This window comes from Homo sapiens, chromosome 9 (genome assembly GCF_000001405.40).
Source record: "Homo sapiens chromosome 9, GRCh38.p14 Primary Assembly".
Classification (NCBI taxonomy): domain Eukaryota; kingdom Metazoa; phylum Chordata; class Mammalia; order Primates; family Hominidae; genus Homo; species Homo sapiens.
In genome coordinates this window covers 128,413,430-128,437,754 of record NC_000009.12, presented here as the reverse complement: position 1 = coordinate 128,437,754, position 24,325 = coordinate 128,413,430, and the positions used below count along the sequence as shown (strand labels likewise).

Sequence of the window (24,325 nt, the reverse complement as noted above, 5' to 3'; positions counted from 1 at the left end):
AGTGGCAGGGTGCAGTGGCTCACGCCTCTCATCCCAGCACTGTGGGAGGCCGAGGTGGATAGATTGTTTGAGCCCAGGAGTTTGAGACCAGCCTGGGCAACATGCAAAACCCAGTCTCTACAAAAAAAAATGTGGCCAGGCATGGTGGCATGTGCCTGTGGTCCAGCTACATGGGAGGCTGAAGCAGGAAGATTGCCTGAGCCCAGGAGGTTGAGGCTGCAGTGAGCTGGGTTTGCGCCATTGCACTTCAGCCTGGGCAACAGAGGGAGACCCTGTGTCAAAAAATATATATATACATACATACATACATACATATATATATATATATATATATATATATATACACATACACATACATACATATATATATATATATATATATACATATATATACATACATATATATATTTAAAGTGCAAATGGCTTTTATTGAGGGCCTACTGTGTGCTGGGCAACATGTCTGCAAGGGTCCTGCTTTACCTCCCTGTACTTTGCACCGGCCAGGGAGGAGGGTGCTGGGGAGACCCAAACATCAAGCTGGGGGAGGGTGCTGAGGTGGAGGTAGAAGGGGGCAGAGGGGCCCCTCAGCTGAGTCCTTAGGGAGGGAAGGGATCCTGGGGTCTGCCCAGCTTGAAACAGAAGCTGGGGGCCACAAGGCCCTGAATCAGGCCAGGCAGGGTACAGGGGCCTGGGAGTCCTGCTCCTTTGCTGTGAGACCTTTAGGGAATGGGATCCATCTCTGAGTGGTTTCTCCCGATGAAAGACAGGTCCAGAGGGCAGAGTGGCCATGCCCAAGGTGGTGGCCAGGTCTGACAGGATCTGCAGTCCCTGCCAACAACCTCCTCCTCTGCTCTCTGGGCAGTAGTGGCCTGCTCCTGGACACTGCTTTGCAGTCATCACCTGGACCTGGTGGGACAGGAGGAGCAGGAAGAGAAAGAGAATTAGAGTCAGACAGAATCAGAGACAGACAGACACTGACAGATATAGGAAAACAGGGGCAGAGACAGACAGAGAGGGAAAAAGCTAGAGAGGGATGCGGAGACAGCTGAAGGTACAATTATAGACAGACACAGAGGCCAGGCACAGTGGCTCACGCCTGTAATCCCCAGCACTTTGGGAGACCGAGACGGCTGGATCATTTGAGGTCAGGAGTTGAAAACCAGCCTGGCCAACATGATGACACCCTGTCTCTACTAAAAATACAAAAGGCCAGGCGCGGTGGCTCACGCCTGTAATCCCAGCACATTGGGAAGCTGAGGCGGGCAGATCACCTCAGGTCAGGAGTTCAAGACCAGCCTGGCCAACATGGTGAAACCCTGTCTCTACTAAAAATACAAAATTTAGCCGGACGTGGTGGTGGGCGCCTGTAGTCCCAACTACTCGGGAGGCTGAGACAGGAGAATCGCTTGAATCCGGGACGCGGGAGGCAGAGGTTGCAGTGAGCTGAGATCATGCCACTGCACTCCAGCCTGGGCAAAAGAGCAAGACTCCATCTCAAAATAAATAAATAAATAAAAATAAAAATAGAAAAATTAGCCAGGCCTTGTGGTGGGTGCCTGTAATCCCAGTTACTGGGGAGGCTGAGGCAGGAGAATCTCTTGAGCCCGAGAGGCAGAGGTTGCAGTGAGCCAAAATCACGCCACTGCACTCCAGCCTGGGCGACAGAGCGAGACTCCGTCTAAAAAAAACAAACAAACAACAACAACAACAAACATAAAGGCAAAGCTAGAGATGGAGAGGGAGAGAGAAGGCTGAGAAGGGGAAAACAGCCCCAGACACAGTTATGCCATCAAAGGGGAGAGCAAGCCAAGGTCTACGGGGCTGGGGCCTCTTCCCGCCCTGGCCTCACCTAGAGCTCATCTCGGGGCTGGGGTTGGAGGCTGTGCCCGCTGCTGCCAGTCAGGTCCAGGCGGGGGCTGCGCAGGGTCTTTTGGGAGCCGCTCCAGCTGATGAGGCGGCCGCTGTCATCATCCCATGGAGAGGATGTCTCCGTGTCACTGAGCCACTCGGCGTCCCCGGCATAGTGGGTAGGGGCAGCGAGCAGGGGCTGGGCGGAGAAGGCCACCAGGTCCCGTGGCCAGAAGTGTGCCTTGTACTGCTCGCTGTAAGGTGAGAGGATAGCTCAGGGGGATTGAGGCGGGCCCCTACTCCCCGGACACATGCCTGCCCGGAGCCAGGCACCTTGCCTGCCCAAAGCACCTCACTCCCCGCCATCTAGTCCTCACAGCGGCCCTGAGCAGTGGGACTTCTACTACCTCCATTTTCCAGATGAGGAAACAGAGGCTGAGAACAAGGAAGTCATTTGATTAAAAACTGCATGCAGCCGAGCGCAGTGGCTCATGCCTATAATCCCAGCACTTTGGGAAGCCGAGACGGGCGGATCACCTGAAGTCGGGAGTTCAAGACTAGCCTGACCAACATGGCAAAACCCCATCTCTACTAAAAACACAAAAATTGAGGCTGGGTACAGTGGCTCATGCCTGTAATCCCGGCACTTTGGGAGGCCCAGGCAGGCAGATCACTTGAGGTCAAGGAGTTCGACACCAGCCTGGCCAACATGGAGAAACCCTGTCTCTACTAAAAATACAAAAAAGTTAGCTTGGTGTGGTGGCAGGCACCTGTAATCCCAGCTACTCAGGAGGCTGAGGCAGGAAAATCAGTTGAACCTGGGAGGCGGAGGTTGCAGTGAGCCAAGATTGCGCCACTGCACCGCACTGGGTGACAGTGCAAAACTCCATCTCAAAAATAAATAAATAAATAAATAAATAAATAAAAATTAGCAGGGTGTGGTGGCACTTCCCTGTAATCCCAGCTACTCAGGAGGCTGAGGCAGCAGAATTGCTTGAACCTGGGAGGCAGAAGGTGCAGTGAGTCAAAATCATGCCACTGCATTCTAGCCTGGGCAACAGAGCAAGACTCCATTTCAAAAAAAAGCCTGCATGCACTGTGCAAAGTACACACCGAGAATGGACTGACTCTAAGGCTAGGCTGAGCCACTCCTTGGTGACCTGGGCCAAGTGGCTTGGCCTTGCCAGTCCCAGTCTCCCCATCTGCCAGGTGAGGGGACTTCCTGCTGACTGAGGTGAGTTCCTGGAGGGGACGCCTCTGCCCTGCCATGCCCGGCCCCCATCAGAGCCTCACTTGGGGTGCTGGTCGAACATGATGGGCAGGAACTCGTCCACGGGCAGCATGCGGCGCAGAGGCTGTGAGGCCAGCAGCTTGCGGGCACCCGCCAGACGCAGGGCATAGGCCAGCGTCCAGTAGGAGTACCCAGCCACCACCAGGCCCGGCAGCCCCTCCACGGCCGTCTCCTTCTCAGGGTTCACCTGCTTCCGTCCGAGGTAGCTGTAAGTGACACCAAGGGGCCCAGGAGTCACTTAGGTCCTGGGTGTCATGGGACCCTCCCACACCCGCTCCTACAGGGCCAGGCTCTCAGGGGATGGGCCGGCCAGGGTCCCAAGCAGGAAAAGGCAGACTCCGGAGGCCCACCCTGCCCCCTTGTCCCTGAGGGTGCAGGCTGCCTACATCAGGTCCCAAGACAGTTTCTCTGCCTCCACATCCTCCATCAGCCGCTCCAGCCGCCCCCTGAAGTTGCTCTCAAAGCGCACGTCATCCTCAAACACCAGGACCCGGGCCAGGCCCCTGGCAACCACCTGTGGCATACAATGGGGTGGGAGATGGCTCTTCGGAGTTAAACAACCCCCCTCCCTCCACGCTGAAGCTCACAGCCTCTGCCTGGCCTCAGTTGGCCTGGCCACATCATGCAGTTGCCCCAAAGCCTGCTGGGGGCCCCACTGCCTGGGACCGGAAATCCCAACCTCGCTCTGGCATTTGAGGATCTCCAGATAGAATCATGATGGTAACCGTGGCCCTTGCTACATTCCCTGAGTGCTACTGTGCCCCAGGGCTGTGCCACTGCGTATCTGCAGGGGCCCTCAGGAGGCAGGAGATGATGATCCTCAATCGCAGGAAGGAGGTGGACATGCAGGGATGGGAAACTGCCTGTCCAAGGACACACAGCCAGGAAGTGGCAGAGCTGGGATATGAACCCGCATCTGCTGAACACCAGGGCCCAGCTTGTCACTTTGGCCTCCTGCAATTTTCCTTTTTTTTTGAGACGAAGTTTCACTCTTGTTGCCCAGACTGGAGTGAAATGGCCCCCCAAGTCAGGGGGCTGCATGGAAGAGGAGCAGGAACGGTGGAGGCCAAAGCAGCCATGGCCAAGACCAGGAGCCATCTCCCCTCCCACTCCTCCAGCTGCCTGAGTGCAAGCATGACAGATGGTGGCTGGGCCCAGAAGCCCAACTCTCTGGGGGCGGGGAAGTGGCTTGCAGTTCCCATCAAAAGATGGTCTTGGCTCACTGCAACCTCTGCCTCCCGGGTTCAAGTGATTCTCCTGCCTCAGCCTCCCAAGTAGCTGGGATTACAGGTGCCCACCACCACACCGGGCTAATTTTTTTTTTTTTTTTTTTTTTTGAGACGGAGTTTTGCTCTGTCGCCCGGGCTGGAGTGCAGTGGCACAATCTCGGCTCACTGCATGCTCCGCCTCCTGGGTTCACGCCATTCTCCTGCCTCAGCCTCCCGAGTAGCTGGGACTACAGGCGCCGCCACCACGCCTGGCTAATTTTTTTGTATTTTTAGTAGAGACAGGGTTTCACCGTGTTAGCCAGGATGGTCTCGATCTCCTGACCTCGTGATCCACCCGCCTCGGCCTCCCAAAGTGCTGGGATTACAGGCGTGAGCCACGGCGCCCGGCCAACGCCGGGCTAATTTTTGTATTTTTAGTAGAGACGGGGTTTCACCACGTTGGCCAGGCTGGTCTTGAACTCCTGACCTCGTGATCTGTCTGCCTCAGCTGGGATTACAGGCGTGAGCCACCGCACCTGGCCTGGCCTCCTGCTATTTTCTAAAGGAAGCTGGGCTGGGTGGGGGGTGGGAAGACCCCAGCCCCGAATATCCAAAAGAAAAAGTACTTTTGATAACTTTTGGAAAAGTTACTTTAGAATAACTTTTGGAAAACTACTTTTGATAACTTCTGTGAAAAGGAAATCAGCTCAGAAAGTAGTGAAGCCAGGAGCGGTGGCTCATGCCTGTAATTCCAGCACTTTTGGAGGCTGAGGTGGGTGGAATCACTTGAGCTCAGGAGTTTGAGATCAGCCTGGCCAACATGGCGAAACCCTGTCTCTACAAAAAATACAAAATTTAGCTGGGTGTGGTGGTGCGCGCCTGTAGTTTCAGCTCCTCGGGGGTGCTGAGGTGGGATAATTGCTTGAGCCCGGGAGGTCCAGGCTGCAGTGAGCCAAGATCACGCCACTGCACTCCCGCCTGGGTGCCAGAGCAATACCCTGTCTCAAAAAAAAAAAAAAAAAAAAAAGTAGTGAACCATGTCATCCTCCAATTTGTTCAGGGACGGTAAAAAAGCCAACATAGGCTGGGCATGGTGACTCAAGCCTGTAATTCCAGCACTTTGGGAGGCCGAGGTGGGCAGATCACCTGAGGTTGGAAGTTCGAGACCAGCCTGACCAATATGGCGAAACCCCCTGTCTACTAAAAATAGAAAAATTAGCCAGGTGTGGTGGCACATGCCTGTAATCCCAGATACTTGGGAGGCTGAGACAGGAGAACCGCTTCAACCCAGGAGGCAGAGGTTGCAATGAGCCAAGATTGTGCCACTGCACTCCAGTCTGGGTGACAGAGCAATACTCCATCTCAGAAAACAAAACAAAACAAAAACCCATAATGCTCACATACACGTGCACATATATTTGGCTATAGCAGAGAACACAAACAAGGAATCCATGTCCCATCTCCTGGAAGGGCTGCCCTTGGAGGGCCCAGTTCCCATTCTCTCCTGCCGTGTCCAGCAACCTCTTTCCTGCGCTCACACTCCCAGCCCCTGGGCCGAGGCTTCTTGGCCAAGTACTGAGCACATGCTAAGCCCCAGGCTTCCTTCTTTCTGCTCCTAAACACCTTCCTGCCTCAGGGCCTTGGCACCCACTGTTCTCTTCTGCCTAGAAGCCTCTTCTCCCGGCCCCTCAATGGTGAGGTCCATTCTGACCCCCTCCCACACGAGGCACCTCTCAAAGTGGCCCATACCTCTCCCCTCCACTGCAAGCTTGGTTTTGATTTCCATAATCCCGCTCTGGTCCCTGAGCCCCAGGGGGATCCCTTTATTGCAGGAAGGAGCAGACATGCATTGTTCCTGTCCTCCTCTGTGTTCTCAGAGCAGAATATCTCCTAGCACATAGTAGATGCTCAAGAGAGACTGCAGAATGAAAACAAGCACCGCTTAGTGGTGCCCACTGGGGTGTTGAACACAGAGGAGATTGAAAGCTGCTGGCCAGGTTTTGATGAATGTCTTCATTCACTCACTCGTTCACAGAGCAGTGAATAGAACAAACTGGCCCCGTTCTCCCCGAAGGCTGTGGATGGAGGAAGCAGGCACCCTCACCTCTTCCCAGATGGAGTAATGGCTGAGGAAGCAGCCCACCTCGCCCTTGGTCAGAGTGCGGCCCGAGTAAGGGTCCTGGTAGCCCGGGAGCAGGTCTACGCCGAGGTTCCTGATGGCACTGCTGTTGAGCATCCTGAGGGACACAGGTGTGGCGGGGTGAGGGGTGCCTGCCAGAGACCCCTCCAGAGGGGCCAGGCCTGTGCATGTTGGGGACAGTCACACTGGAGTCGGGTTTGAAGAAGGTTTCTGCCTTGTAACTCCTTTGTGTGACCTGAAGCTGTCAAGGGACTGGACCTGGGGAACTGGAGCCCCTGTTGCCCAGGCTGGAGTGCAGTGGCACCATCTCAGCTCACTGAAACCTCTACCTCCCAGGTTCAAGTGATTTTCCTGCCTCAGCCTCACAAGTAGCTGAGATTACAGGTGCCCAGCTAATGTTTTTTTTTTTTTTTTAGTAGAGATGGGGTTTCACCATGTTGGCCAGGCTGGTCTCGAACTCCTGACCTCAGGTGATCCACCCACCTCAGCCTCCCAAAGTGCTGGGATTACAGGCATGAGCCACCACGCCCAGCCACCTCGGGAGTTCTGAGAGGATAACTATTAGGACATGTCCTAATATGATAAGACAGGGGTGACCCTTGAGGAAAGGGTGGGATGGTAGGGGGCTGCCTGAGGGGGAGGCACTCTAGGAAGAATGTGGGAACATGATAGATACTTCTTGGGCAGAGGCCCAAGCAAAGGATGGATAGCCTATGGTCAAGAGACCTCGGGGGATGTGGTGTCTCACACCTGTAATCCCAGTGCTTTGGGAGGCCAAGGTGGGAGGATTGCTTGAGGCCAGGAGTTCAAGACCAGCCTTGGCAACAGAGAAAAACCCCATCTCTCAAAAAAAAAATTTTTTTTGAGACAGAGTCTCACTGTTGTCGGCCCAGGCTGGAGTGCAATGGCACAATCTCGGCTCACTGCAACCTCTGCCTCCTGGGTTCCAGCAGTTCTCCTGACTCAGCCTCCCAAGTAGCTGAGATTACAGGCACCCACTACCACACCTGGCTAATTTTTGTACTTTTAGTAGAGAGGGGGTTTCACCATGTTGGTTGGCCAGGCTGGTCTCGAACTCCTGACCTCAGGTGATCCATCCATAACCTCCCAGAGTGCTGGGATTACAGGCATGAGCCACCGTGCCCAGTCAAAAATTTTTTTTCATTAGGTGGACATGGTGGTGCATGCCTGTAGTCCGTTATTCAGGAGGCTGAGGCAGGACGGTCACTTGAGGCCAGGAGTTCAAGACCAGCCTAGGCAACAGAGTGAGACCCTATCTCTATGAAAAAAAAACAAAACAAAACATTTTTTTTAATCCGGGTGTGGTGATGCAAGCCTGTAATCACAGCTACTTGGGAGGTGAGGGAGGAGAATCACTTAAAACCTGGGAGGCGGATGTTGCAGTGAGCCAAGATTGCGCCACTGCACTCCAGGCCTGGGCGACAGAGCGAGACTCTGCCTCAAAAAAAAAAAAAAATTCTTTTTAATTAGCTGGATGTGATAGTGCACACCTATAGTCCCAGTTACTCAGAAGGCTGAGGTGGGAGGATTACTTGAGCCCAGGAGTTTAAGGCAGCAGTGAGCCATGTTTGTGGCACCGCACTCCAGCCTGGGCAACAGACGGAGGGCAACAGACGGAGACGCTGTCTCTAAAAAAAAAATAAAAAGAGCTGAGTACTTGAAGCAAATGGCAGCCGACATATGGGGCCATAGGACCCCTGGTGGCTGGAGAAGCCTAGCCTCTGGGTTCCTCGGGGGAACATGGCTGGCCTTTCCTAATCCCCACGCATCAGTAGCTCAAGTCCAGGATGGAGAGTAATAATAAGGGAGACACCTAAGCCTTTGGAAACTATGTGCCCGGCCCTGGCTAACTTCACTAAACTCACAAAACCCTAAGAGAAGGGCACAGTTATCTGCTGTTTATACAAACGGGCTGAGAGATGGGGGTAGCTGGCTGGAGGTCACACATTCAGTAACTGGTAGAGCTGGAACCCAGGCCCTGGAGCCTCAGCCACTGTGCTCTCCTCCTCTGGTGAGCAGCAGGAGGGCATCTTCTCCCACGTGTGTCTGCTCCGGAACTCCCTGAGAGGATATTACTCAGACCCTATTTGGATACTACATGGGACAGGAAACTCATTCAACCTGTCTGCTTTTCCCAGTCCTAGCGGGCTAGGAGATGGACCACACTGCTTCCCCAAGCGCACAGGGCCCCCCCCACCAGGCAGGCTCACCAGCCATCCACAGCGTCCACCACCCTCCCAGAGATCTCCATCTCCCAGAGCGAGGCGAGCATGCGTTCCCGACGGTCAGGCCTGCGAGCCAGGCTGATGACAAAGACCTGGAGGAGGCAGGGGGGTGGGCGGTAAGTGCAAGGGAGCGGAAGAGGAGGGCCCATCCACCTCCTAACAGCGAGCCCACAGGCTGGGGGACTTACCTCGTCAAACCCTATCTTGCTGGGCCTCTTAGAGGGCCGAGTCACATGAGCTGAGGCCTGCATGCGGGGGCCGTCCACTGCAAAGGGAAGCACACCCCAAGCACGAGTCCCTACTGACTCCTGTTAGCAGTCACCCTGAAGTCCTAGCCCCCAGCCTCATTCCTGCCCCCTTTGGCAGAACACCCCACAGGACGGGACCTCAGAGATCACAGGATCCACCTGCCCCCATTGTAGGGATGCTAGACTAAGGCCCAACAGGGAAAGGGACTTTCTCAGAGTCATGGAACGAGTTAGGGACAAAGCTGGAACCCCAAGGCCAATGCCCGCTCCGTCCAGGGCCTAGGGAAAGGGGCACCGTGGGGAGGCAGGGAGCCCCGGCAGCAGGTGGGTGGAACAGTTCCCCAGCCCTCACCTAGTGCTTCTAAGATCAGGTGGATGAAGTTGACCCTCTCGTCTTCCAGCCCCTGGTGGGATTTCACCGGCACATTCATGTACCCATAACGGTGCTCATTGCACACGTGGACGGAGACCCCTGCAGAGACAGGCTGAGTGAGAGCTGCAGTGGAGGGTGGGGCTCTCAGAACCCAGCTGAAAGGTCCTAGGCCCAGCACTGCCAGTGACCCAACATGTCAGTCTTCTCTGGGACTCAGTTTCCCCACCTGTGGGACCAGAGGGAGAAAGGGCTTGGCTCACACAATATCTAAGGGGTCTTTCTACTGAAATGGTTCATTCATTCAATATACCTGTCCAGGGCACCCGCTGGGAGCCAGGGTTACGGCAGTGAGCAAGACTGAGTCCCTGCCCTCAGGGCATCAAGGTGAGGCAGGAGCAGACAAACTCCTACCCATCACAGCCACAGGGTGCCAGTGAGCCCCACTGCTCTGTCTCCTAAATCCCCCCACCTCTCCTGATCCCCACCACCCCACCTGGATCCAAGGGCCATCGCCTTTTCCCCACACCCCTCCACTTCACCTCACACCCTCTGGGGCTCCTCTCCACGATGTCTTTCACCTGGCAGCCAGAGTGGCCTTCCCCCGGCTTCAATATTTGTTACCTTTTTTTTTTTTTTGAGATGGAGTCCTGCTCTGTCACCGAGGCTGGAGTGCAATGGTGCGATCTTGGCTCATTACAACCTCTGTCTCCCAGGTTTGAGCAATTCTCCTGCCTCAGCCTCCTGAGTAGCTGGGAATACAGGTGTGCACCACCACATCCAGCTAATTTTTGTATTTTTAGTAGAGACGGAGTTTCGCCATGTTGGCCAGGATGGTCTCGAACTCCTGGCCTGAAGTGATCCACCCACCCTAGGCCATCCAAAGTGCTGGGATTACAGGCGTGAGCCACTGCACCCGGCCAATATTTGTTACCTTTATTATAATTATCCTCAGGGGCAGGCACACAGTGCCAATTAAAAAGCTAACCTAGGCGGGGCACAGTAGCTCACGCCTGTAATCCCAGCACTTTGGGAAGCCCAGGCAGGCAGATCATTTGAGGTCAGGAGTTCAAGACCAGCCTGGCCAACATGGTGAAACCCCATCTCTACTAAAAATACAAAAATTAACCGGCTGTGGTGGTGGCCGCCCGTAATCCCATCTACTTAGGAGGCTGAGGCAGGAGAATCACTTGAACCCGGGAGGCAGAGGTTGCAGTGAGCCAAAATCGCGCCACTGCACTCCAGCCTAGGCGACAGAACAAAGCTCTGTCTTAAAAAAAAACAAACAAAAAACAAATAAAAGCTAACCCTATTCCCAGCATTGAGCACAGAGCCTGGCCCAGAGCCGGGATGTAGTATCTGGCTGTTAGAGACTGAATTCCTTCAAACCATTGACCAATTAACAACGGCTGTCGCTTGAAGTAGGGCTAGCAAATTAAAAATAACAGAATGCTTTTGTTTCCTCTTGTGTTTTCCCCTCCAATTGTTTCACCTTCACTCACTTTTTGCACTTGGTAAGATTTCTTCTTGCATGTCTGCACACTGCAGACTTCTCCAGCACAAAACAAAGAATTACAACATCCTCCTTACCGGCTGCCACTGATTACTTGATTAAATCGTCACCTCTAATTTACCCTGAGCACCTGCAAAGTTCTTCTCCATGCACCAGATAGTCTTCAGGGTCGGAATTACATATTCTCTGCAGCCTTCTCAAGAGCTTCACTCCAACATCAGTGTCTCCACCCCTCCCTCTCATCCTCAGGACTGGATTTTTTTTTTTTTTTAAGACAGAGTCTCGCTCTGTCGCCCAGGCTGGAGTGCAGTGGCGCGATCTCGGCTCACTGCAAGCTCTGCCTCCTGCGTTCACACCATTCTCCTGCCTCAGCCTCCCGAGTAGCTGGGACTATAGGCACCCGCCACCATGCCTGGCTAATTTTTCGTATTTTTAGTAGAGACGGGGTTTCACCGTCTTAAGATGGTCTCAATCTCTTGACCTCGTGATCCACCTGCCTCGGCCTCCCAAAGTGCTTAGATTACAGGCGTGAGCCACCGCACCTGGCCAGGACTGGATTTATTCCATCCAAACCCAAACACTTTCTTACTCTCTGTTTTTTTTCAGACAGGGTCTCATCTTGTGTTGCCCAAGGTGGAGTACAGTGGCATGATCACAGTTTACTGCAGTCTCTACCTCCTGGGCTCAAGCGATCCTCCTGCCTCAGCCTCCCAGGAAGCTGGGACTACAGGCGTGGGCCAACACGCCAAGTTAATTTTTAAATTTTTTTGTAGAGATGGGATCTCGCAGCCGGGGGCGGTGGCTCACGCCTGTAATTGTAGCACTTTGGGAGGCTGCGGGGGCAGATCACTTGAGCCCAGGAGTTCAAGACCAGCCTGGGCAACACGGCAAAACCCCATCTCTACAAAAAATACAAAAATTAGCTGGGCATGGTGGTGTGCACCTGTGGTCCCAGCTACGTGGGAGGCTGAGGTGGGGGAGGTCAACACTGTAGTGAGCTGAGATTGTGCCACTGCACTCTAGCCTGGGAGCCACAGAGCAAGACTCCGTCTCAAAAAAAAAAAAAAAAAAAAAAGGCTGGGCTGGGCTCAGTGGCCCATGCCTGTAATCTCAGCACTTTGGGAGGCTGAGGCGGGCAGATCACCTGAGGTCAGGAGTTCGAGACGAGGCTGACCAACACGGAGAAACCCCGTCTCTACTAAAAACACAAAATTACCCAGGCGTGGCAGTGCATGCCTGTAATCCCAGCTACTCGGGAGGCTGAGGCAGGAGAACTGCTTGAACCCGGAAGGCAGAGGTTGCAGTGAGCCAAGATCACGCCATTGCACTCCAGCCTGGGCAACAAGAGCAAAACTCCATCTCAAAAAAAAAAAAAGGGCAGAAAAGAGATGAGGTCTTGCTATGTTGTCCAGGCTGGTCTCGAACTCCTGAGCTCAAGTGATTTCCCCTCCAGCCTCAGCTTCCCAAGACTTTGAGATTAGGGTCTGAGTCACCTTGCCTGGCCATACCCAAACTCTTTCTAGTAACTTTCATCTTGGCTGGGCGCGGTGGCTCACGCCTGTAATCCCAGCACTTTGGGAGGCCGAGGCGGGCAGATCACGAGGTCAGGAGATCGAGACCATCCTGGTTAACACGGTGAAACCCCATCTCTACTACAAATACAAAAATTAGCCGGGCGTGGTGGTGGGCGCCTGTAGTCCCAGCTACTCGGGAGGCTGAGGCAGGAGAATGGCTTGAACCCGGGAGGCGGAGCTTGCAGTGAGCCAAGATCGGCCACTGCACTCCAGCCTGGGCGACAGAGTGAGACTCTGTCCCAAAAACAACAACAACAACAACAACAAAAAACCTTTCATCTTAAAAGTAACCACTGGCTGGGCGGGTGGCTCACACCTGTAATGCCAGTACTTTGGGAGGCCGAGGCGGGTGGATCACCTGAGCTCAGGAGTTTTGAGACCAGCCTGACCAACATGGCAAAACCCCGTCTCTACTAAAAATACAAAAATTAGCTGGGTGTGGTGGCGGGTGCCTGTAATCCCAGCTACTCGGGAAGCTGAGGCAGGAAATCATTTGAACCCGGGAGGCAGAGTTTGCAGTGAGCCGAGATCACACCAAAAAAAAAAAAAAAGAGAGAGAAAAGAAAACTCATGACCCAAAGTTGTAACTCATGGGTTAACAGGATGAAATGCAGAGTAGGGAAGGGCATGGTAAGCAGCTGGAATAGCATGTGCAAATGTGCAGAGGCCTCCAAGGAATGCTAAAGGAGGGCTGGTCCTCACCAGCAGCCTGGCAGGCATAGGCGAAGACGATGATGTCGTCGAAAGGCCAAGTGTAGTTGGGATGTGGCGGGTAGAAAGCAAGCTGGTCTGCCCCTTCAGCCCGCAGGGATGCAAGGAAGGTGGAGTGGACCATGGGGACACGGAAGCAGCCCCGGCGCTGGCGGTTCTTGGTGGGGAAGTACTCGGCTGTGCGGCGGTAGTAGCCCTGGGGAAAAGGGATGCTTTGGGCTGTGAGAGGGCTCCCCTGCCCCTGCCCACAGACCCCAAGGCCTCAGGCTCTCTGCTCTCCACGTCCCTCCTTCCAGGACCTCAGTCCACCCAAGGCCCCCATCCCGGCCTCACCTGGGGGGTGATCCCACACCAGAAGTTGGAGTAGTAGGTCTGGGAGTCCAGCATTGGGGCCACCACTGGAAGCCCCTGCCCCATGAGAAGCCGCAGAGTCTGATTGTTGGTCAGAATGTTGTCTGTGTCTGCAAACTTTGAGGAGGGGACGTCACAGGCTCCAGCCCTGCCTGGGCTGCAGCCCCCCAAGGAGTTCACTGAGTGGTCCTGCCAGAGACCCAGCGTGGCTCCTAGGATCCAGTGGGAATGCTCTTACAGAGGTCTCACAAACTCAGTACATCTGTTTCTGGACCAAGGCTCTAGTCTGGGGCACTGACTCAGGGACTGGGTCCAGAGATTATACCTGAGTTACTGATCTAAGACCTTTATCTGGGATCTGGCTTAGAAAATGGATCCAAACACCTACTCTGAGCTCTAGTTCAGAGATCCAGGCTCAATTTATACCCTGGGCTCTAGCCCAGAAATCGAGGCTCAGTAAAGTGTATACAACGGGATCTATCTGAGGGGTCCAGGCTTAGTACCTAGTCTGAGCTTTTAACATAGGGATCCAATCTGAACATCTGGTCTGGGCTCTGGCCCAGATAGCCTGCCGAAGGATCCAGCCTTCGGGTGGGTCAGTCACATTCAGATTTCTTTTTCTTTTTTTTTTTTTTTTGAGACTGAGTTTCACTCTTGTCACCCAGGCTGGAATGCAGTGGCATGATTTCAGCTCAGTGCAACCTCTACCTCCCAGGTTCATGCCATTCTCATGCCTCAGCCTCCCAAGCAGCTGGAATTACAGGCGCCTGCGACCACGCCCAGCTAATTATTGTATTTTTAGTAGAGATGGGGTATCACCATGTTGGCCAGGCTGGTCTCGAACTTCTGACCTCAGGTGATCCACCTGCCTTGGCCTCCCAAAGTGCTAGGATTATAGGCGTGAGCCACTGCACCCAGCCTATACCCAGATTTCTATCAGGGACGGATACTACCGCCTTTCAGAAGCCCGATTCTAGCCAGACTTCCTCACCAGGATATAGTCGGCCCCCCAGTTCCTGGCAAAGGTGAGGGCTTCCTGCTTCAGCTCCATCAGAAACTGGTGCCTTTCTTTGGTCCAGTGCTTGGGACCCTCTTCATCTGGGTAGAACCTGAGGGGATAGAGGTGAGATGTTCCCATGGGGTACATGCCCCTCCCTCTCTGCAGGGCAGTGGACAGAGCCCTGGCTTGGAGGCTGTGGCTCTGGGCTGTCCCTTTTCCTCTCTGGGCTGCAGCTGTTCTCCATCTTCCCCAGCACCCTTCCCCTCAGATCACCACCTGGGCTCGCCCTCAGGCCTCCAGACCACAGCAGCATAGTCATCGCCCACAGCCGCCAGCCACTCCTGCAGCATCTCTGTGGTGTTGTCCACATTGTGGTCCGTGGCACACCTGGGGACGGGAAGAAAAAAGGCTGAGGGGGCACAGCCACAGGATTGAACCCCAAGGCAGCCTTGACCCCAAAGCACTAACACCTTTGAGGTCGAGCTCTCCTTGGAACAGTGAAGGGTAGGTGTGCTACAGCAGAGAGGCTGGAGGCAGCACAGCCAGGTCCCCACCACAGTTCTGTGACCTGCTGTGTGACCTCAGGCAAGTCCCATCTTTCTCTGGGCTTCACGTCCTCCCTCTATAACTTAAGCTGTCCTGCTTATGTCATGGACAAAGATAAGAGAAGAATAATGCATTTTTTTTGAGATGGAATCTTGCTCTGTCGCCCAGGCTGTAGTGCAGTGGTATGATCTCGACTCACTGCAACCTCCGCCTCCCGGGTTCAAGTGATTCTCCTGCCTCAGCCTCCTGAGTACCTGGGATTACAGGTGTGCACCACCATGCCCGGCTAATTTTTGTTTGTTTAGTAGAGATGGGGTTTCACCATGTTAGCCAGGCTGGTCTTGAACTCCTCACCTCAGGTGATCTGCCCACTTCGGCCTCCCAAAGTGCTGAAATTACAGGCGTGAGCCACCACACCTGGCCAACGAATGCATTTTGAAAGATGAAAAGTACCTCGACTTTAAGGATCACACCTGGTGCATTCCCTGGTTACCTTCGTTAGGTGGGCAGATACCTACCTATGTGACCTGTGGCTGTGTGACCACAGGCCAGCCCCTGTCCCTCTCTGAATGGGGACTAGACAGAAGAGCTGCTGCTTTCCTCCACCCCCAGGTTGTAATAAGGACCAAACCATGCTCTAAGCGTCCCTAAGAATGCAGATGGGTCCAAGCTCTGCTGTCATGGGGCACAGCCTCCCCTCTCCTGGGGAAGGGGCCCCCATAACAGAGGTGGGGGTTTAGCCAAGTGCCCAGGTTTTGGGTGATGCTGCCCCTTTAAGCCAATTCCCCAGAAATGAAGACTACGTGTCAAGTCTTACAGGGGTGGGAACTAACAAACTCCCAAACTGTGGTAATTGTGGGCGGCCTCCCCAGGCCAGGGCTCCACCCCCCCAGCCCAACTGTGGTGTGTTGAAGAGGGTGGCTTGTCATTTTTCTCAGTTTACCCCCAACCTCAGCCAGGGACTCCTCCCTGTTCTGGTGTCTACAGACCAGGGGTTGTGGCCTTCGATCCCAGTGCCCTGGGGGTACAGAGATGCCAGAGGGGAGAGGCTCCAGGAAGGGGGACTGCCCTTGGCTGACAGGATCCCGCCCCTCTACCAAGATCTACCAAGAGAGCTGGCCCCAGCACGGGGGCGGTGGGGGGGCCGGTCTGACTCCCCTGCACAGCCCGGAGCCCAGTGCTGATGGCACCCCCAACCTGTGCCCGGAAGCCTCCAGCGTGGTCGATCCCTGCCACGTTGGGCCCCAGTGGACTTCAGAGGTTCCTGTCTGCTCCTCTTCAAATCCAGCCAACCACAGGTCCCACTGGGGTTGAGCTGGGCCCTGAAGGCTGGGGTGAAAAGGGCTGGCTGGGCCCAACCTACACCCAGGGAAGGCCCCAAGAGGAAGGAGTAGGGGACCAGAAGGAGGGGTGGGTGTCCCGCGTCGGCCTGTGGCCTCAGAGGTCTGTCGTCTCCCAGCAGGGGGCTCGGGGTCCTCTCTGGCGGCTCGGGCTGGCAGGGCCGTCTGTGAGGGGAGGGGCCTGTCTAGGTGGTGTCTGGGCAGGGAGCGAGCAGACAGGGCCGCCGGGGGCGGGGGCCATCTGCGAAGCTGGGGGTTAGGTGCCCACTCGGTGCCAATGCCCGGGTCTCTCACCAGAGGGCCATCCTGGCCCGGGGGTAGTCCAGCCGCTCCAGAGCGCCCAGGTAGTGGGGCAGCGAGTGTTCGGCATTGCGGGCCAGGATGGCAAGGACCACGGCGGGCAGCGGCGACTCCGCAACGCCCGCAGCCTCCAGCCACGGCCCCAGCAGGAGCAGCAGCTGGAGCAGCGGCGCGGCGCGGGCAGCGCGCATGGCGGGCGCTTGGGCGGCTGCAGCGGCCCCCGGAGCTCTCGGGCCGGCCGAGGGGAGGGGGCGGGGCCTGGGGCCCGGGCGGGGCCGAGGCAGACCCGGAGAGGGCGGGGCAGTGCACCCTCAGAGTGGGATCCTGCTCCCCACCCCTGTGCGTGGATGCTCAAGTTTTCTCTCCTTGGCCCGGGGCACCGGAGGGCCAGGGCCCGGGGACCCGCGCCAGCCGCGACCCTGGAGCAGCCCCGCCCGGCTGGACCCCGGAGGGGCGACGGCGGAGGGGCCGGAGGACCGGACAGGGGAGGGGTGCTAGGACGAGTGCGTCGGGGCCGGCCGGGCGTCCGAGAACAGTAGGGGCTCATGGAACCCCTGGGCGTTGAACCCCCGGAATCCGGATTCCCCGGCCCACGCAGCCGACTCTTCGACCTGAGCCGCAGACCCAGAGGGGCGGCGCCCACTCGGCCACCACCTCCCGGGCTTCCCCGGCTCCCGCCCCATCCTCCGCCCCGGGCGCCCTCTGGCGGCCCTGGCGCTAGCTCCGCAGACCAGCCGGGCCACGCGTGGGCCGGAGACCCAGCGTGGGGGGCGCAGAGGGAGTCCCCCTGAGCTGGGCGCGTCCTCCCGCGGCGGTCCGCTCCTTAAGTCCCCTGTGCGTCACCTCCTTGCGTCGGTCGCCAGCACCCGCATTGCTTCGGCCCTTTAAGAGAGCACAGCCAGGCCGGGCGTGGTAGCTCACGCCTGTAATCCCGGCACTTTGGGAGACCGAGGCGGGAGGATCACCTGAGATCAGTTCAAGACCAGCCTGGCCAAGATGGTGAAATCCCATCTGTACTAAAAATACAAAAATTAGCCGGGCGTCGTGGCGGGTGCCTGTACTCCCAGCTACTTGGGAGGCTGAGGCAGGAGAATCGCTTGAACCCGGGAGGCGGAGGTTGCAGTGAGCCGAGATCGCGCCACTGCACTACAGCCTGGATGACAGACCGAGACTCCGTCTCAAAAAGAAAAAAAAAAAAAGAGCACAGCCCTCACAGCCCTCTCTTGGTCTGAGTGTAGAACTAGGGGACACCACGGAGCTGCTCACTGCGACCCGACCCGTCCGTCCTCCAAAGCAGGGGATGTTGGCTCCCCTGGAGCACCGCCGGGGTCCTTAGGACCCTGCTGGGAGGGAAAGAACTCTGCAGCCTCTCGGGAGAGGAGCAGAAAAGGGAGCGGCCTGGCGGCACCACAGATGGGATCGAACTGGGTGTCTGTCACCAACCTCAGACAGGTCCCTTTCCCTCAGGAGCCTCTCGGGTAAAATCGGGCTGATAACGCCACCCATCTGGGAGGGTTTGCAGGGATTCCTCGAGAGAATGAATGCACTGGCAGCTTTTCCCGCGTGGAGGCTTACACACAGGAAGAGCTCCGCCCTGGGGCTGGGAAGACAGGACTGGAGGAGAGGGAGGCTCCCCCTTCACCCTCCCACCGCTGGGAAGATCTCCTTTCCTAGGAACAGCACGGGGTCTCCCTTCAGCCTTTTCCCAGGGTCAGGGAGGGGAGCCAGGGCTGTGCACACTATCTCCACTGCAAGGGGAGGGCTGAAGGTCCATAGAGGAAGGAACTTACCTAGTGCAGGGGCAGCACGTGCGCACTGAACCCTGGAGTCCTGATCTCTAGCCTAGCTCAAAGCCTCCACCAGGATCGGGTGGCAGCTTCCATTTGAGGCCATTTCTAGGCCAGCGGCCCTGCAATGAGAAGCATTCTGGAGAGATGCCAGATTTCTTCTCCCTTGCACGGTAGTCCCCTGCGGGAAGCCACTCCCAGCCCCAGAAGAGGGATTCCCTTTCTAAAGCAAAGCAGTGTTCCCTACTTCACCCACCCCAGAGTCATTCCACAGCCTCTGCCTGTCCTATTGGTCCAAGGGTGCTATGGTCAGAATGTCCGTGACCCTCAAAACTCACATGTTGAAAACCTAATGTTAATGTCAGGGTATTAAGAAGCGGGGCCGGCACGGCGCGGTGGCTCGCGCTTGTAATCCCAGCACTTTGGGAGGCGGAGGCGGGCGGATCACGAGGTCAGGAGATCAAGACCATCCTGGCTAACACGGCGAAACCCTGTCTCTACTAAAAAATAGAAAAAAATAGCCGGGCGTGGTGGCGGGCGCCTGTAGTCCCAGCTACTCAGGAGGCTGAGGCAGGAGAATGGCGTGAACCCAGGAGGCGGAGCTTGTAGCGAGCCGAGATCGCGCCACTGCACTCCAGCCTGGGCGACGGAGCGAGACTTCTGTCTCAAAAAAAAAAAAACAAAAAACAAAAAACAAAAAAAAAAACAGGCGGGGCCTTTGGGAGTTGATTGGGTGGGCTGCCCCACCTGAATGCGGCTAGTGCCCTTATAAAAGAGGCCTGGGGGCCGGATGCGGTGGCTCACGCCTGTAATCCCAACACTTTGGGAGGCTGAGGGGGGTGGATCATGAGGTCAAGAGATCAAGACCATCCTGGCCAACATAGTGAAACCCCATCTTTACTAAAAATACAAAAATCAGCTGGGTGTGGTGTCGCGTGCCTGTAGTCCCAGCTACTCAGGAGGCTGAGGCAAGAGAATCGCTTGAACCCAGGAGGCAGAGGTTGCAGTGAGCCAAGATCATGCCACTGTACTCTAGCCTGGCAACAGAGCGAGACTCCGTCTCAAAAAGAAAAAAGAGGCCTGGGGAGCTTGTCAACCCCTTCTGCCACATGAAGACACAGCTAGAAGGCCCCAGGTATGAGGAACGGGCCCTTACCAGACACCAAATCTGCTGACGCCTTGACCTTGGACCTCCCAACCCCCCAGAACTATTAGCAATAAATTTCTTTTTTTTTTTTGGCCAGGGGTTGGGGGGTGGTTCAAGCAATTCTCCTGCTTCAGTCTCCTGAGTAGCTGGGATTACAGCCACACACCACTATGCTTGGCTAATTTTTTGTATTTTTAGTAGAGATGGGTTTTCACTACGTTGGTCAGGCTGGTCTCGAATTCCTGACCTCAGGTGATCCAGCTGCCTCAGCCTCCCAAAATGCTGGGATTACAGGTGTGAGCCACTGCACCCGGCTGATAAATTTCTGTTGTTTATACATTATGCAGTCTAAGATATGTTGTTATAGCAGCCCAAACGGACTAAGACAGGGGGCTTCCTGATTCTTCCCTGGCCTCAAGTCCTCCTCTTCCCCCAAGTCCTCCCACCCTCCCCAGGAGTCCAGCCTGTTACTAACTTTCTTGCCTCAGAGTTTTCCCATCACACCTGCCTGGAAAACCCAATAGCCATCTTGTTTTGGGGCAGGTTGGGGCAACTGCAAACTCAGGGTCTCTACCCTCACTTGGGCTCTCACCCAGCCCAAGAATCCTGTTTCCCTGTGTCCCCTGCCCACTCCCCTCAGGGCATTTCAAATGCTTCTAGTCATTGAGGCACGGTGGCTCATGCCTGTAATCCCAGGACTTCGGGAGGCTGAGGTGGGCAGATCACTTGAGGCCAGGAGTTCGAGACCAGCCTAGGAAACACAGTGAAACCCTGTCTCTATTAAAAATACAAAAAAAGGCCGGGGCAGTGGCTCACACCTGTAATCCCAGCACTTTGGGAGGCTGAGGCAAGTGGATCACCTGAGGTCGGCAGCTCAAGACCAGCCTGACCAACATGAAGAAACCCCGTCTGTACTAAAAACACAAAATTAGCTGGGCATGGTGGCGTGTGTCTGTAATCCCAGCTACTCAGGAGGCTGAGGCAGGAGAATCACTTGAACCCAGGGGGGCAGAGGTTGCAGTGAGCCGAGATCGCGCCATTGCATTCCAGCCTGGGCAACAAAGGCGAAACTCCGTCTCAAAAAAAAAAAAATAGTAATAATACAAAAAAAAATTAGCCAGGTGTGGTGGCACATGCCTGTAGCCCCAGCCACTTGGGATTCTGAGGCAGAAGAATCACTTGAACCTAGGAGGTGGGAGTTGCAGTGACCTGAGATCACGCCACTGCACTACAGCCTGGGTGACAGAGTGAGATTCTGTCTCAACAAAACAAAACAAAACAAAACAAAACAAAGCCTCCAGTCTTCTCAAGCCCCCATTCCACCGCCCCTCTCCCCCAGCAAAGATCTCTCTACTACTTTTTGGAGAAAATAGAAGCCATTACCTGGGAACTCTCATTTCTAGCCTCCAAACCTTCCACCTCTGCCCTCAGCCAGCCTCAGGAGGCACACCCCTCCTCAACAGAACGGCCCCTGTGAAACCGCCTTTGCAAATTTGTAACTCAGGAAATTATGACAGCGGAACAAATCAGACCTAACTGATTCTGTCTTGCTTCTAACCCTTAAGCTGTCCTTGTTCACTCCTGGGCGTAGGCTGAACTAACTTTGGGAAGGAATTCAGTTCATGGTTTGACTCTGAAACAAAATTTATAACAGCCCTTTCCCAAAAAGACCCTTCTTCTTGCCTGGGGTCCAGTCTGCCTTTGCAGGACTGGCAAAGTAGCTATAAGATTAGAAATTACAATTTAGGGGTCATGCAGCCTTTGGGTCCTCCCCAAATTGCTCCTGGGGTAACATCACTATTGTAAAACCTAAAGTCAGTGCTTGAGATATTCTGCAGACCCTGCACCCGATGGATCAGCTGACACCAGCCAGACCAGTAATCTGGCCCAACCAGTTCTACCATCGCACCCAGGAACAGAAGACATTAAGAATACCTAACTTCCACCTCCTATGATTCCATCTCCAATCTGACCAATCAGCATTTTCCACTTTCCAAGCCCCTACCTGCCAAATTATATTTAAGAACTCTGATCCCCACATGACTGGGGAGAACCGATTTAAGTAATAATAAAACTCCGGTCTCCCGCACAGCCGGCTCTGTGTGAATTACTCTTTCTCCTTTGTAATTCCCCTGTCTTTTTTTTTTTTTTTTTTTTTTTTGAGACGGAGTCTCGCTCTGTCACCCAGGCTGGAGTGCAGTGGCGTGATCTCGGCTCACTGCAAGCTCCGCCTCCCGGGTTCACACCATTCTCCTGCCTCAGCCTCATGAGTAGCTGGGACTACAGGCGCCCGCCACTACGCCCGGCTAACTTTTTGTATTATTAGTAGAGACGGGGTTTCACCGTCGTCTCGATCTCCTGACCTCGTGATCCGCCCGCCTCGGCCTCCCAAAGTGCTGGGATTACAGGCGTGAGCCACCGCGCCCAGCCTCCCCTGTCTTGATAAATCGGTTCTGTCTAGGCAGCAAGCAAGGTGAACCCATTGGGTGGTTACACCTGGTCCCCTCTCCCTTCCTGGATCCCCATCCTCCCTCTCTTCTAGGCCCTTCCTTCCACATATCAAAGGACTTGGATCTCCCACAACCAAAGATAAGAAAGCACCAAGGCACCCCTGTGGCCTCTAGCTGTGGCCATAACTCCTCCAAGCCTCTTGAATGGTGAATGTGAACCTTGTTCCCTGTCTCTTCACTTCCTTCCATTCTCTGCTTGACACACATCAAGGTGGATCCTGCAGAGACCAGAGTCCTCCAACCACTCCCCCGAGTGGACACTTCCTCCTCATACCTGTATCCAGGCTGGAGTGCAGTAGCATGATCATTGCTCACTGCAGCCTCGAACTCCTGGACTCAAGCCATCCTCCCGTCTCAGCCTCCTGAGTAGTTGGGACTACAGGTGCATACCTAATATTTATTTATTTACTTACTTTGTATAGACGGGGATCTCACTATGCTGCCCAGGCTGGTCTTGAACTCCTAGACTTAAGTGATCCTCCCACCTTGGCCTCCCAAAGTGCTGGGATTACGGGTGTGAGCTACTGAGTCCGGCCAGCACGCCTTTCTAAAATGCCTGACAATAACTCCCTTCAGAGCTGCCACCGCTGAGCACAGAGCTCAACCCCTCAAGGGGCAACAAGGCCCTTCATGGCCTGCCTGCATCTTCTCCACCTCCTCTGGTCTGCAAGCCCTCCCCCTGACCCGACCTTATGCTCCAGCCAAATTGCACAATTTACAGTTTCCAGAATACTCCATGCTTTTGGACCTTCCCACATCCTTTTCTATTTTTTCCCTTGGTCCCGCTGCCTGGATTGGTCTTTCCCTTCCTGGGCAGCTTCTATACTGTGGGTCCTATAGTCTCAGCCAAAACTTCCTCTCTCTGCAAAGATTTCCCTGATGCCATGTCTGGGAGACATATCCCTACAGGTCATTCTGTATGATCCCATTCATTCAGCAACTATTTCCCGAGCACATGCTATGTGCAGGTGGAACGCTAGGGGCTGGGAATACAGAGGTGCACAAAACAGAAGCAGTCTCTGCTCCTAGGCTCCTTACATTTTGGTGAGAAGAAACAGGAAACAAGCAAAACAATCAATGAAGAGATCATTTCAAGGAATGGTAAATGCCATGAACAAATTGAAACACATGATCAAGAACTGAGAGTAGGCTGAAGGCAGTGGCTCACACCTGTAATCCCAGCACTTTGGGAAGCCAAGCCAGGCATATTGCTTGAGCTCAGGAGTTCGAGACCAGCCTGGCCAACATGGTGAAACCCTGCCTCTACAAAAAGTACAAAAATCAGCCGAGCATGGTGGTGCACACCTGTAGTCCCAGCTACTCAGGAGGTTGAGGTGGGAGAATCACTTGAGCCCGGCAAGCGGAGGTTGCAGTGAGCTGAGATTGCACCACTGCACTCCAGCCGGGGCAACAGAGCAGACACTGGCTCAAAAATAATAAATAAATAAAAAGAGAGAGAGAGAACTGAGAGTAGTTGGGAGTCGAGCAACATTCAGACAGAGGGTTCAGGGAAGACATTTTGGAACAAAAGGAAGAGTTAATCAAGGGGAGATCTGAGGGAAGAGTGTTCCAGATGCAGGAACAGGTAGAGCAAAGGCCCGGGGTGGGAACACGAAAGGCGGCCAGTGTGATTGGAGCAAAGTGAGCAAGAGGATATGGTAAGACGTGAGGTTAAATAGGTAGGAACGGCCAGGTCACCCAGTGCCTTGAAACTATGGCAGGGTTTTGGTTTTGGTTTTGTGTTTGAGAAGGAGTCTCGCTCTGTCACCCGGGCTGGAGTGCAATGGTGCGATCTCGGCTCACTGCAACCTCTGCCTCCTGGGTTCAAGCGATTCTCCTGCCTCAGCCTCCCGAGCAGCTGGGATTACAGGCAACTGCCACCACGCCCGACTAACTTTTGTATTTTTAGTAGAGACGGGCTTTTGCCAATGTTGACCACCCTGGTCTCAAATTCCTGACCTCAGGTGATCCGCCCACCTCAGCCTCCCAAAGTGCTGGGATTACAGGCATGAGCCACTGCGCCCAGCCATATGGCAGGGTTTTGGATTTTCTTTTTTTCTTTTCTCTTCTTTTCTTTTTTTTTTTTTTGAGATGTAGTCCCACTCTGTCACTCAGGCTGGAGTGCAACGGCATGGTCTTGGCTCACTGCAACCTCCGCCTCCCAGGTTCAAGGGATTCTCCTGCCTCAGCCTCCC

At 54.8% G+C, this 24,325-nt stretch overlaps 1 protein-coding gene across 4 annotated transcripts, besides 2 other annotated features; it reads right to left on the bottom strand.

Moving 5' to 3' along the window:
* Window positions 1-403: 403 nt before the first annotated feature.
* Window positions 404-18,595, bottom strand: CERCAM (cerebral endothelial cell adhesion molecule). Of its 4 annotated transcripts, XM_047423450.1 has the most exons (14): window positions 16,681-16,898; window positions 16,244-16,551; window positions 14,777-14,887; window positions 14,492-14,609; window positions 13,483-13,617; window positions 13,141-13,345; window positions 9,334-9,453; window positions 8,922-8,998; window positions 8,719-8,825; window positions 6,452-6,584; window positions 3,526-3,653; window positions 3,142-3,345; window positions 1,850-2,102; window positions 404-906 (listed from the first exon to the last, which is right to left on the bottom strand). In XM_047423450.1, exons 3-13 carry the CDS (start codon window positions 14,848-14,850, stop codon window positions 1,850-1,852), a joined length of 1,554 nt encoding a protein of 517 aa, XP_047279406.1. In that variant the 5' UTR covers window positions 14,851-14,887; window positions 16,244-16,551; window positions 16,681-16,898; the 3' UTR covers window positions 404-906. The 4 variants fall into 4 exon arrangements, with proteins under 4 accessions (XP_047279406.1, NP_001273689.1, XP_011517065.1 ...); NM_001286760.1 differs by lacking the exons at window positions 16,244-16,551; window positions 16,681-16,898 and adding an exon at window positions 18,477-18,595; XM_011518763.4 differs by lacking the exons at window positions 16,244-16,551; window positions 16,681-16,898 and adding an exon at window positions 14,969-16,232.
* Window positions 16,163-16,352: an enhancer, noted in NCBI's record as "active region_29081". NCBI's record gives its function as "activates an Ori minimal core promoter by ATAC-STARR-seq in GM12878 lymphoblastoid cells {active_cell/tissue: GM12878}" and the evidence as "EXISTENCE:reporter gene assay evidence [ECO:0000049][PMID:35858748]".
* Window positions 16,613-17,512: a silencer, noted in NCBI's record as "silent region_20339". NCBI's record gives its function as "represses an Ori minimal core promoter by ATAC-STARR-seq in GM12878 lymphoblastoid cells {active_cell/tissue: GM12878}" and the evidence as "EXISTENCE:reporter gene assay evidence [ECO:0000049][PMID:35858748]".
* Window positions 18,596-24,325: the final 5,730 nt, after the last annotated feature.

Bases quoted from the DNA above. Each gene is read 5' to 3' on its own strand.
- CERCAM (NM_016174.5), bottom strand. From the start codon at position 16,877: ATGCGCGCTGCCCGCGCCGCGCCGCTGCTCCAGCTGCTGCTCCTGCTG. The intron at 13,618-14,491 runs GTGAGGAAGTCT...CCCTCCTCAAAG, and splicing joins GGGGGGCCGACTATATCCTG to TTTGCAGACACAGACAACAT. The intron at 13,346-13,482 runs GTGAGGCCGGGA...CCTTTTCCCCAG, and splicing joins GGTGTGGGATCACCCCCCAG to GGCTACTACCGCCGCACAGC.